The 12,872-nt window shown below is 46.5% G+C and overlaps 1 annotated feature.

Moving 5' to 3' along the window:
- Nucleotides 12,780-12,869: an enhancer, noted in NCBI's record as "active region_14430". NCBI's record gives its function as "activates an Ori minimal core promoter by ATAC-STARR-seq in GM12878 lymphoblastoid cells {active_cell/tissue: GM12878}" and the evidence as "EXISTENCE:reporter gene assay evidence [ECO:0000049][PMID:35858748]".

Raw genomic sequence — 12,872 nt, forward strand, 5'->3', positions numbered from 1 at the left:
CTCTACAAAAGTTAAAATAGGTCACAGTGGCTCACACCTGTAATCCCAGCACTTTAAGAGGCTGAGGTGGAAGGATCACTTGAGGCCAGAAGTTCAAGACAAGCCTGGGTAACACAGCAAGACCCCATCTCTAAAAAGTAAAAATATCTCTTGAATGAATGAGTGAGTGAGTAATGTTACTAGATGAGACCAAAGAATCGCCTTCTCAGGATGTTTTTTGTTTTTTTGTTTGTTTGTTTTGGTTTGGTTTGGTTTGGTTTTTTTGAGATGGAGTCTCGGTCTGTCACCCACGCTAGAGTGCAGTGGCACGATCTCAGCTCACTGCAACCTCTGCCTCCTGGGTTCACGCCATTCTCCTGCCTCAGCCCCCCGAGTATCTGAGACTACAGGCGCCCGCCACCATGCCCGGCTAATTTTTTGTATTTTTAGTAGAAACAGGGTTTCACCATATTAGCCAGGATGGTCTCGATCTCCTGACCTCATGATCCGCCCGCCTCAGCCTCCCAAAGTGCTGGGATTACAGGCATGAGCCACCGCGCCCGGCCAGGATGTTTTTAAGGACAGGTGAAAGTCCTCCTAATTTTATTTGAGGAGAGGAAGGTCTTCCTCATCTCCTTTGAGGTTGGTTCTCTTTGGATGAGGCAGGTGGAGGCTACGATGAAATTTCATCTTGGCCCCCAATCATACAGGACCCCTGTCGGCATCAAGTTCCCCAGAATTAAGACCCAGAACTGAGAGTTATCCCAAGGCCCATGGGGTCATAAACAGCCAGGAATGAAAAAAAATTTATTGGTGCCAAACTGTAGAGAAAAAAAATGCAAAGTCAAGATGAATACACTTGATGAAACTCAAATTGAAGCCCTTGTGTTATCATTTATTATTTATATATATGCATTATATTGGATGTGGAATGGGGTGCATTTCTGTATATTTAACGTTTTATGTAATGGGTGCTCCAAAACTAAAGGAGCCCAGGAGGCTCTTAAAATAGCCCGCTTCCTGTTAGCCAGCAAACTTTCATGTCTTTTCCTTTCTTTTCTTTTCTTTTTTTTTTTTTTCTGAGACAGGATGTCACTCTGTCTCCCAGGCTGGTGTGCAGTGGCACAATCATAGCTCACTGCAGCCTTGAACTCCTGGGCACACCACAATTCCTGGCTTATTTTTTAATTTTTTTGCAGAGACGGGGGGGGTGGGTCTCATTATGTTGCCTAGGCTGGTCTCGAACTCTTGGCTTCAAGCAATCCTGTCATTTCAGCCTCCCAAGTAGCTGGGACTACAGATGCAAGCCACTGCCCAGCTTATTTATTATTGTGACAGAGTCTCACTCTGTTGCTCAGGCTGGAGAGCAGAGGCATGATCATAGCCACTGCAGCCTCAACCTCTTGGGCTCAAGGGATCCTCCTGCCTCAGCCTCCTTGAATAGCTGGGACTACAGGCACATACCACCATGCCTAATTTTTTTTTATTTTTTTGTGCAGACAAGGGTCTCTCTATGTTGCCCAGGCTGGTCTTGAACTCTTGGCCTCAAGCAATCCTCCTGCTTCAGCCCCCTAAGTGCTGGGATTACAGGTGCGAGCCACCATGCACAGCCAGTCTGTGGCTTTCTAGCCATGACAAGGAAGTCCTGACGAGATAATATAGCCATCTCCTCACCCTCCTGTATGGCCATCTCATGGTGAAGAAAGCTGTTATCCCAGCAAGTGGCCACAAAAGCTTGGACGGAGCTCCTTCTCAAGTAAAAGACTATAACTAGTTTTCAATGAGAAGCTTTCTTTTTCTTTTTCTTTTCTTTTTTTTTTTTTTTTTTTTGAGACAGAGTCTTGCTCTGTCACCCAGGCTGGAGTGTACAGTGGCGCGCGATCTTGGCTCACTGCAACCTCCCCCCTTCCAGTTTCAAGTGATCCTCCTGCCTCAGCCTCCCGAGTAGCTGGGACTACAGGCACCCACCACCACACTCTGCTATTTTTGTATTTTTTTTAGTAGAGATGGGGTTTCACCATGTTGGCCAGGCTGGTCTCGAACTCCTGATCTCAGGTGATCCGCCCCCCTCGGCCTCCCAAAGAGCTGGGATTATAAGCATGAGCCACTGCACCCGGCCAGATTTATTTTTTAATGGACCACACTCTGCTTCTGCTCCTTGCATTTCAGTGAGTTCCACGGCACCGTTTCCATGATATCACGACTGATCCATGCAGGATCACGGCTAATAAATGGCTCTAAAACAACCTGTGAAGACATAACCATTAAGTGTGCCAGGTACCAATCTGCAATTCCACATGCTGCACATACAGCTCTGAAGCGCACGCTCCCCACAAGCCCGCCGTGGCTTTCTCAGAGGATCGGGCATATGGAACCATAATGGAGCATAAATTTACAGCAACAGAGATGGACGAGGGAGATTAAAGCTTCATCTGTAAGGACATACTGCATGGCAAAAAAAAAAAAAAGAAAAAAGAAAGAAAGAAAAAAGAAAACAACAGTTATTGTAGTTTCTGCTTTGTAGTATAATGAGAAACTCAGTCGCTTTTGATAGAGTGTGGGCTCCCTCTGCTGCTTGCAGGAGACACCAGGACTCCGGGCATTTGGGGTTCCTTGGAGATCAGCGCAGAGGAGGTGGCCTGAAGTGGGAAGAGAAAGATGGGGCTGAGCGTTGCAGACGGACCGACTGGTTCTGCAGGCTCTGACCCTGTGGGCTTCTCAGAGTAATTATGCTGCTGCTGCACCAAGAAGCAAGAAATGGAAATAACAGAAAAACGCAAAGAAACTGTAAGATGCACTGGCCAGATCACCTGTGTGCACAGAGGAATGCATCACGGAAGCAATGCAGCCTGCCCAGAGCAGCTTCTCCTTCCCTCCCTCCCTCCCTTCCTGTTTAAATTTTTGCAGAGATGGGGTCTCGTTATGTTGCCCAGGCTGGTCTGGAACTCCTGGCTTAAAGCAATCCTCCCGCCTCAGCCTCTCGAGTAGCTGGGACTACAAGTGCAAGCCACTGCTCTTCCTTCCTTCCTTCCTTCCTTCTTTCCCTTCCTCCCTTCCTTTCTTCTCCTTTCGTCCCTCCCTCCCTTCCTTCCTTTTCCCTCCATCCCTGCCTCCCTCCTTCCCTCCCTTCCTACCTACCAACCTTCCTTCCTTCCTCCTTCCTTGTTTCCTCCCTCCTTCCCTCCCTCCCTCATTCATTTCCCAGTCACAAGGTAGGACTGCACTTCCCCACCCGCTTTGATGTTAGGCATAGTCACATGATTCACTTTGGCCAACACAATATAAAGAAAAATGATGGGTATCATCTCTGGCTGGAAACTTAAAGGGACAGGTCGGGTGCGGTGGCTCATGGCTGTAATCCTAGCACTTTGGGAGGCCAAGGCGGGTGGATGACTTGAGGTCAGGAGTTCGAGACCAGCCTGGCCAACATGGTGAAACCCCATCTCTACTAAAAATACAAAAATTAGCTGGGTGCAGTGACACGTGCCTGTAATCCCAGCTACTCAGGAGGCTGAGGCAGGAGAATCGCTTGAACCCAGGAGGCAGAGGATGCAGTGAGCTGAGATTGAGAGGTGACAGCATGCTGGCAGTCCTCAGAGCCCTCGCTTGCTCTCGGAGCCTCCTCTGCCTGGGTTCCCACTTTGGCGGCACTTGAGGGGCCCTTCGGCCCGCCGCTGCACTGTGAGAGCCCCTTTCTGGGCTGGCCAAGGCCAGAGCCAGCTCCCTCAGTTTGCAGGGAGGTGTGGAGGGAGAGGCGCGAGCAGGAACCGGGGCTGCGCGCAGCGCTTGCGGGCCAGCTGGAGTTCTGGGTGGGCGTGGGCTTGGCGGGCCCCGCACTCGGAGCAGCCGGCCAGCCCTGCCGGCCCCGGGCAATGAGGGACTTAGCACCCGGGCCAGTGGCTGCGGAGGGTGTACTGGGTCCCCCAGCAGTGCCGGCCCACCGGCGCGGTGCTCGGGACCTGCAGTCTTAGCTGCCTTCCCACGGGGCAGGGCTCGGGACCTGCAGCCTGCCATGTCTGAGCCTCCCACCCCCTCCATGGGCTCCTGTGAGCCCGAGTCTCCCGGACGAGCACCACCCACTGCTCCAGGGCGCCCAGTCCCATCGACCACCCAAGGGCTGAGGAATGTGAGCGCACAGCGCAGGACTGGCAGGCAGCTCCACCTGCAGCCCCGGTGAGGGATCCACTGGGTGAAGCCAGCTGGGCTCCTGAGTCTGGTGGGGACGTGGAGAGTCTTTATATCTAGCTCAGGGATTGTAAATACACCAATCAGCACCCTGTGTTTAGCTCAAGGTTTGTGAGTGCACCAATCGACACTCTGTATCTGGCTGCTCTGGTGAGGACGTGGAGAACTTTTATGTCTAGCTCAGGGATTGTAAATACACCAATCGGCACTCTGTATCTAGCTCAAGGTTTGTAAACACACCAATCAGCACCCTGTGTTTAGCTCAAGGATTGTAAATACACCAATCGGCACTCTGTATCTAGCTCAAGGTTTGTAAACACACCAATCAGCACCCTGTGTTTAGCTCAAGGATTGTAAATACACCAATCGGCACTCTGTATCTAGCTCAAGGTTTGTAAACACACCAATCAGCACCCTGTGTTTAGCTCAAGGTTTGTGAATGCACCAATCGACACTCTGTATCTAGCTGCTCTGGTGGGGCCTTGGAGAACCTGTGTGTTGAAACTCTGTATCTAACTAATCTGATGGGGACGTGGAGAACCTTTGTATCTAGCTCAGGGATTGTAAACGCACCAATCAGCGCCCTGACAAAACAGGCCAGTCAGCTCTACCAATCAGCAGGATGTGGGTGGGGCCAGATAAGAGAATAAAAGCAGGCTGCCCGAGCCAGCATTGGCAACCCGCTGGAGTCCCCTTCCACAGTGTGGAAGCTTTGTTCTTTTGCTCTTTGCAATAAATTTTGCTACTGCTCACTCTTTGGGTTCACGCTGCTTTTATGAGCTGTAACACTCACCGCGAAGATCTGCAGCTTCACTCCTGAGCCTGGCGAGACCACGAGCCCACGGGGAGGAATGAACAACTCCAGACTCACTGCCTTAAGAGCTGTAACACATACCGCAAAGGTCTGCAGCTTCACTCCTGAGCCAGCGAGACCACAAACCCACCAGAAGGAAGAAACTCCGAACACATCTGAACATCAGAAGAGACAGACTCCAGACGCGCCACCTTAAGAGCTGTAACACTCACCGCGAGGGTCCGCGGCTTCATTCTTGAAGTCAGTGAGACCAAGAACCCACCAATTCCGGACACAAGATCACACCACTGCACTCCAGCCTGGGTGACAGACAAGATTCCGTCTCCAATTAAAAAAAAAAAAATTTAAAGGGACAGTGTGCAGTTCACTAGGTTATCTCTTCCCTGGTACTTGGTAGCATTGAGATGACAGCTGCTCTGTCAGCCTAGGTCTCAGAGTGAGAAAATGAGGTAGGAGGCAGAACAGACTCCAGAGTCGGGGCTTGGACACCAGACCAGATTGAAGACTAGCTAAAACAGGGATGTGCTGGAAGCTCCTTTCCATAAGACACGTCCACCAGTGCGTCATGTCAGTTTACCACTTCCATGGCAACACCCAAAAATTACTGCCCCTTTCCATGGCAATGACCCAACAACCTGGAAGTTACCACCCCTTTTCTAGAAATTTCTGCATAATCTGCCCCTTGATTTACATATAATTAAAAGTGAGTCTAAATGTGGCTGCAGCACTGCTTCTGAGCTGCTCCTCCAGGCACACTGCCTGTGGGGTGGTCCTGCTCCGCAAGGAACGGCCCCTCTGCTGCTGCTGCTGTGCATGAGTGCTTCAAGAGAAGTTGCTATCCGACACCACCAGCTTGTCCTGGAATTCTCTCCTGGGCAAAGCCAAGAAACCCTCCCAGGCTTAGCCCCAATTCTGGGGCCTGTCCTGCTAAGGAAGAAGGGAGGGTGAAAGAAAGAAAGAAATGTGTAATTAGTTTGTTAGGGATGCCATATAAAACTACCACAAACTGAGTGGCTTAGAACAAAAGAAAATTGCTGGCCATGCAGAAAGAAGTACTGCAGTAGCTGATGATAATAATTTTCCTTTCTGAAAATATCAGGCTGGGCATGCTGGCTTGTGCCTGTAATCCCAGCAGGGATTTGGGAGGGATTCGGGAGGCCAAAGTGGGAGGAAGGTTTGAGGCCAGGAGTTTGAGAGCAGCCTGGGCAACACGGCAAGACCCCATCTCTGCAAAATGTTTAGAGAGCTGGACATGATGGTGCGCACCTGTAGTCCCAACTCCTAGGGAGGCCAAGGCAGGAGGATCACTTGAGCCCAGGAGTTTAGAGTTCAGCCTTGGCAACAGAGTGAGACCCCATCTTTTTTAAAAAAAAAATATTGTCTCACAGTTCTGGAGGCTGGAAGTGTGGTATCAAGGTGTCAGCGGGGCCATACTCCCTCTGAAACCTGTAGGAAGAGGCTCCTTCCCCATCTCTTCCTAGCTACTTGTGGTTTGCTGGTAATCTCTGGCACTCCTTGGCTTATAGATACATCATTCCAATCATGTTCATCTTCCCCTGTGCATGTCTGTCTCTGCATCCAAATTTTCCCAATTTCCCTCCCTCCCCTCATCCCCCACCTTTCTTTCTTTTTTTTTTTTTTTTTTTTGGTCTGAGACACAGTCTCACTCTGTTGCCCAGGCTAGAGTGCAGTGGCACAATCTTGGCTCACTGCAACCTCTGCCTCCTGAGTTCAAGTGAATCTCCTGCCTCAGTCTCCCGAGTAGTTGGGATTACAGGTGTGCGCCACTATGCCTGGCTAATTTTTGTATTTTTAGTAGAAACAGGGTTTCACCATGTTGGCCAGGCTGGTCTCGAACTCCTGACCTCAGGTGATCCGCCCTCCTTGGCCTCCCAAAGTGCTGCGATTACAGGCGTGAGCAACCGTGCTTGGACCAAATATCCCCTTTATATAAGGACACCAGTCATACTGGATTAGGGCTCACCCCCAATGACCTCATTCTAACTTGATTACTTTTGTAAAGACCCTATTTCCAAGGTCACATTCTAAGATACTGGGGGTAAGGACTTCAACGTGTCTTTTTGCAGGGACATAATTCCACTTATAACAGCAGGTTCACAGAGCTCAGCCTTTCAGCTGGCTTCTTACCAGTCAATAAACCCACCCATACACTTGGAGTTCCTAATCAAATCTTTCTTGCTTTCTCCTTAAAAATGAACAGGTTAGGCCGGGCGTGGAGGCTCACACCTGTAATCCCCAGGACTTTGGGAGGCCAAGACGGGTGGATCACCTGAGGCCAGGAGTTCAAGACCAGCCTGGCCAATCCAGTGAAGCCCATCTCTACTAAAGATACAAAAATTAGCCGACTGTGGTGGTGCCCACCTGTTGTCCCAGCTACTGGGGAGGCTGAGGCAGGAGAATCACTTGAACCGGGAAGGCAGAGGTTGCAGTGAGCCAAGATTGCACCACTGCACTCCAGCTTGGGCAACAGAGCGAGACTCCATTCCCCACCCCCCGCCCAAAAAAATGAACAGGCTAATCAAGGACCACCAACTATCTAATGACAGCCTATGGCATGTGGGAGAGACTATAATAACCATGTTTTCTTATTTTAAAATTTTAGATACAGGGGTCCACGTGCAGGTTTGTTACACAGGTGTATTGCATGATGCTGAGGTTTGGGCTTCTATTGATCCTGTTACCTATATAATGAACATAGTACCCAACAGAGAGTTCTTCAACTATTCCCCTCCTCCCTCCGTCTCACTGTCAGAGTCCGCAGTGTCTGTTGTTTCCATCTTTATGTCCACGTGCACCCGAGATTTAGCTCCCACTTATAAGTGAGAACATGCAATTTTTGGTTTTCTGTTCTGTGTTAATTTGCCTAGGATAAAGGCCTCCAGCTGCATCCATGTTGCTGCAAAGAACATAATTTCTTTCTTTTTTATGACTGCATAGTATTCCATGGTATCTATGCACCATGCATTTTCTAGTTTCTGTTTTTGATGCTCTGACATCTTGGGGCCTTGCTGACCCTGGAGGGATGGTCCCTCCCAGGGCTAGCCACATCCTAAAGATAGTAAGTGACTCTCCTGTGAGCACAGCTTTCAGATGCACACCAGCCAATCCAGAAGTCATTCCCCAACCACCTCCGTTTCAGGGCCCTCACAGGGCTGTTACACTCAGGGCAACTATTTCTCTGCCCTAGTCACCCCAGGGCCCAGTACCAGACTATTAGAAGCAGAGCCCACAAAAATTACTCAAACTAGCCAATCCTGAGCCTGCGTATCTGCCTCACCTGTTCCTTCTCACAGAACTCACAAAAAAGGCTCTCGTCCACTTTTACCCTCTTCCCTCTGCCTCGTGACTGCCCCTGGCCCCTGTGTGGTGTGCCCTGCCTCCTGTTTCTGGCGGTCTGTGAATCTAAGCTTTTTCCTTCATGACCGTCAATTCCGTGCCTGTATGTCTTCGCATATCTAATTTAAACAAATCCTGGGTACCCTTACAACAGAGGCCAAGAAAAATAATCAGGTATAAAAACAACCTGAAAAGAAAGAGGACTAACTCAGGAAATGAAAGAGGATGTTTAATTGGTTTCCAATTATTATTATAACAATATTTAAGAAGTTATTACACTCAAAAATCAAGAACAAGATAGTACGCAAACAGCATGATAATGCTGCATAAACAGAGTAAGGAGAATAAGTAAATAAATAAATTTTTAAACGGTGCAATAAGGGAACAAGAAAGTGTTCTTATAAAATAAAAATATAATGGCTTAAATAAATTCAAGAGAAAGGTCAGATGATAAAACAGAAGAAGCCTTCCATAAAGTAGGACAAAAAGACCGAGATGGAAGACATGAAAGAAAAGGGATATGAAAGATTTATCCAGGAGGCCCAGTTTACAGTTGTCCCAGATAGAGAAAGATAGAAATCAAAGAGGAAAAAAGTATCAAATGGACAACAAAACAAAATTGCCCAAAAGTTAAAGGTAGAAGTTTCCAGATCAAAAGAATCTACCAAGCAAACAGGACAAGGGCTTTTAAAAGGCCCAAACCTTTGCAAAATTTCAGAATCCTGGGAGGAAAAGGAAAGATTCTAAAACTTTTCTTTCTCTTCTTTTTCTTTCTCTTTCTTTCCTTCCCTCCTTCCTTCTTCCTTTCCCATTCCCCTTCCCCTTCCCCTTTTCTTCCCCTCCCTCCCTCTGTCTCTCTCTCTCTCTCTCACTCTCTCTCTCTCTCTCTCTCTCTTTCTCTCTTTCGGGGCTCACTCTCACCCAGGAAAATTCCTAGGCTCAAGCAATTCCCACCTCAGCTTCCCAAGTGGCTGGGACTACAGGTATGCACCACCATGCCCTAATTTTTAAGTTGTTGTAGAGAGAGGGTTCTCACTAGGCTCATCATGTTGCCCAGGCTGGTCTCTAACTCCCAGCCTCAAGCGATCCTCCCACCTCAGCCTCCCAAAGTCCTGGGATTACAGCTGTGAGTCATCACACTTGACCAAAAGCTTTCAGAAAGAGAAAAAAAAAAAACACCACTCACGAAGGAATAGGAATCAGATTTTTGTATCACGAACACCAAATGCTAGAAGACAGATGAGATGTACCTTTATACTCCAAAGGGAGTGGACACTAAACACAACTGGATCACGAACTGACAAGAAAACAAACAGTGGTGGTGAAGGTTATTTGAATAACTGGAGAGACAAATGTGGGCTACATCAAGTAGATGATACTATTTTATCTATATTAATGTATTGGGTACAATAATTATATTATATATGAGTATATCTTTGTTCTTAGGATATACACTTAGGAGTGAACTGACATATTTGAAACCTTCAAATGGTTCAAAAAAACTGTGTGTGTGTGTGTGCATATGCACACACGTATGTATGTGTGTGTAGACATATAAAGTCAATGTGGCAAACTTAATGATTAATGAATGTATGGGAAAGATATATACACGTTCTTTGTACTATTCCTCCAATTTTTATAGATTTGATGGTTTTCACAATGTAAAGTAAGGAATTTTACAAATTACTAATATATAACAAAGTTAGAAGGGTAAATTAAAAATAACATTTTGTATTATATTTTAATTTAAAGTAATTCTGAGGGGAAAATATTTTATCCAAAAGTCTATAACCAACCATGAATTAGTCAAGTGTTATGGTCAATTAAATATTTAGACATATGACAATATAGAAAATTTGTCTATCACAGACTTTTTAAAGACAATTACTTAAAAATGTGTTTCAACAAACTTAAGGGTTAAACCAAGAAAGAGCATAAGGAATCCAAGAAATAGAGGATGAAACTCAAGATGGCAAGGAAGGAAAATCTAGGATAAGAGGTATGCAACAGTCCCCACCATTCAGTGGGGAAAGGACAGTCTTTTCAACAAATGGTGCTGGGAAAACTGGATAGCCACATGCAAAAACATGAAGTGGGACCCTTACCTAATGCCATATTAACTCAAAATGGACCACAGACCTGAACATAATGAGCTAAAACTATAGAACTTCTAGAAGGAAACAGGAGAATAGCTTCATAACGTTAGATTTGGCAGTTATTTCTTGGGTATGACACCAAAAGCAAAGGCAACAAAAGAAAAAATAGGTAAGTTGGACTTTATGAAAATTAAAATATTTTGTGCATTGAAGGACACAATCAACAGAATGTAAATCCCATGGAATGGGAGAAAATAGTTGCAAATCATATACTTTGATAAGGGATTATCTAAAATATGTAAAGAACTACTACAACGCAACAACAAAAAAAGAAAAGCAAATTTTAAAATGGGCAAAGGGCTAGAAGAGACATTTTTCTTTTCTTTTCTTTTCTTTTCTTTTTTTTCTTGAGACAGAGTCTCGCTCTGTCACCAGGCTGGAGTCCAGTGGCGCGATCTTGGCTCACTGCAACTTCCGGCTCCCGGGTTCAAGTGATTCTCCTGCCTCAGCCTCCTGAGTAGCTGGGACTACAGGTGCGTGCCACCACGCCCAGCTAATTTTTGTATTTTTAGTAGAGACAGGGTTTCGCCATGTTGGCCAGGATAGTCTCAATCTCTTGACCTAGTGATCTGCCCTCCTCAGCCTCCCAAAGTGCTGGGATTACAGGAGTAAGCCATCGCACCTGGCCTAGAGTAGACATTTCTCTAAAGAAGATATACAAATGGCCAACAAGCACATGAAAAGATGCTCAACATCACTAATCGTTAGAGAAATGCATATCAAAACCACAACACCTCACCTCATACCCGTTAGGATGGTTACTATCAAAAACAATCAAAAAACAAACAAACAAAAAAACAGAACACAACAAATATTGGTGAGGAGACGGTGAAATTGGAACCTTCATTCACTGTTGGTTGGAATGTAAAATAGTGCAGTTGCTGTGGAAAATGGTATGGCCATTCCTCAACACAGAATTATCACATTATCCAACAATTTCTCTTCTGGGTATATATCCAAAAGTGAAAGCACAGACCTGAACAGATATTTCTACACCCATGTTCATAGCTGCATTATTAATAATAGCCAAAAGGTGGATGCAACCTAAGTGTCCATTGTCAGATGAATGGATAAACAAAATGTGCTAGGTATATCCATACAATGGAATATATTCAGTCTAAAGAGGGAAAGAAATTCTGCCACATGCTACAACATGAATGAACCTTTAAGACATATGCTAGGTGGAGTAAGCCAGTCACAAAAGGACAAATATTGTATGATTCCACATATACAAGATACCCAGAATAGGCAAATTCATAGAAACTAGAATGAGAATGGGTGGAGACTGATTATTATTCTCAGACCCCTCCCACCCCCACCCATTCCCATTAGAGGCCCCTCACACCAACCTAAATCTTTACTGGGTAGAGTTCCAGTTCAGGATGATAAAAAAAAAAAGTTGTAGAGATTGATGGTGGACAAGGTGGTTCATGCCTGTAATCCCAGCACTTTGGGAGACCAAGGCAGGTGGATCACTTTAGGTCAGAAGTTCGAGACCAGCTTGACCAACATGGTGAAACCCCATCTCTACTAAAAAATACAAAATTAGCCGGGCACAGTGGTGCACGCCTGTGGTCCCAGCTACTTGGGAGACTGATGCAGGAGAATCGCTTGAACCCGGGAGGTGGAGGTTGCAGTGAGCTGAGATTGAGTGACAACTGCACGATAATGCATTTCATACCACTGAAAAGTACACCTAAAAATGGTGAAAATGGTAAATTTTGTATTGTGTATATTTTGCCACAATTAAAACACACAGGCCAGGTGTGGTGGCTCATGCCTGTAATGTTAGCAGTTTGGGAGGCTGAGGCAAAAGGATTGCTTGAGCTCAGGAGATAGAGGCCAGCCTAGGCAACATAGCGAGACCCCATCTGTATTTTTTTAATGTAAAAAATAAAATAACACACACACAGACAAACAAACAGAATCTGTATGAGTCACACGTTTAGGTAGCTGAATATCCTCTCTGCCCCCAATTCCCCCAAGTCAAAGGCAGAAGGGATTTGTTCCACCAAAGAGTTTACACCAGCCACAGCTGCCCACTGCAGTATCCTCCCAGGAAAAGCCCTTTTGTGCGTGGAGGAGGCAGATGGCGAGGAGGCAGATGTGCACTTTTTTTTTTTTTTTTTTTTTTTTTAGAGACAGGGTCTGGCTGTGTCTCCCAGGCTGGAGTGCAGTGGCGAGATCAAGGCTCACTGCAGCCTCGAACTTCCGGGCTCCAGCGATCCTCCTGACACAGCCTCCTGAGTAGCTGGGACTACAGGTGCACATCACCGCGCCCAACTAGTTTTTTAAAATTTTAGTAGAGATAGGCTCTTGCCATATTGCCCAGGCTGGTCTCTAACTCCTGACCTCAAATGACCCTACCGCCTCCCGAAGCG

The sequence above is a fragment of the Homo sapiens genome, chromosome 19, assembly GCF_000001405.40.
Source record: "Homo sapiens chromosome 19, GRCh38.p14 Primary Assembly".
Taxonomy (NCBI): Eukaryota; Metazoa; Chordata; class Mammalia; order Primates; family Hominidae; genus Homo; species Homo sapiens.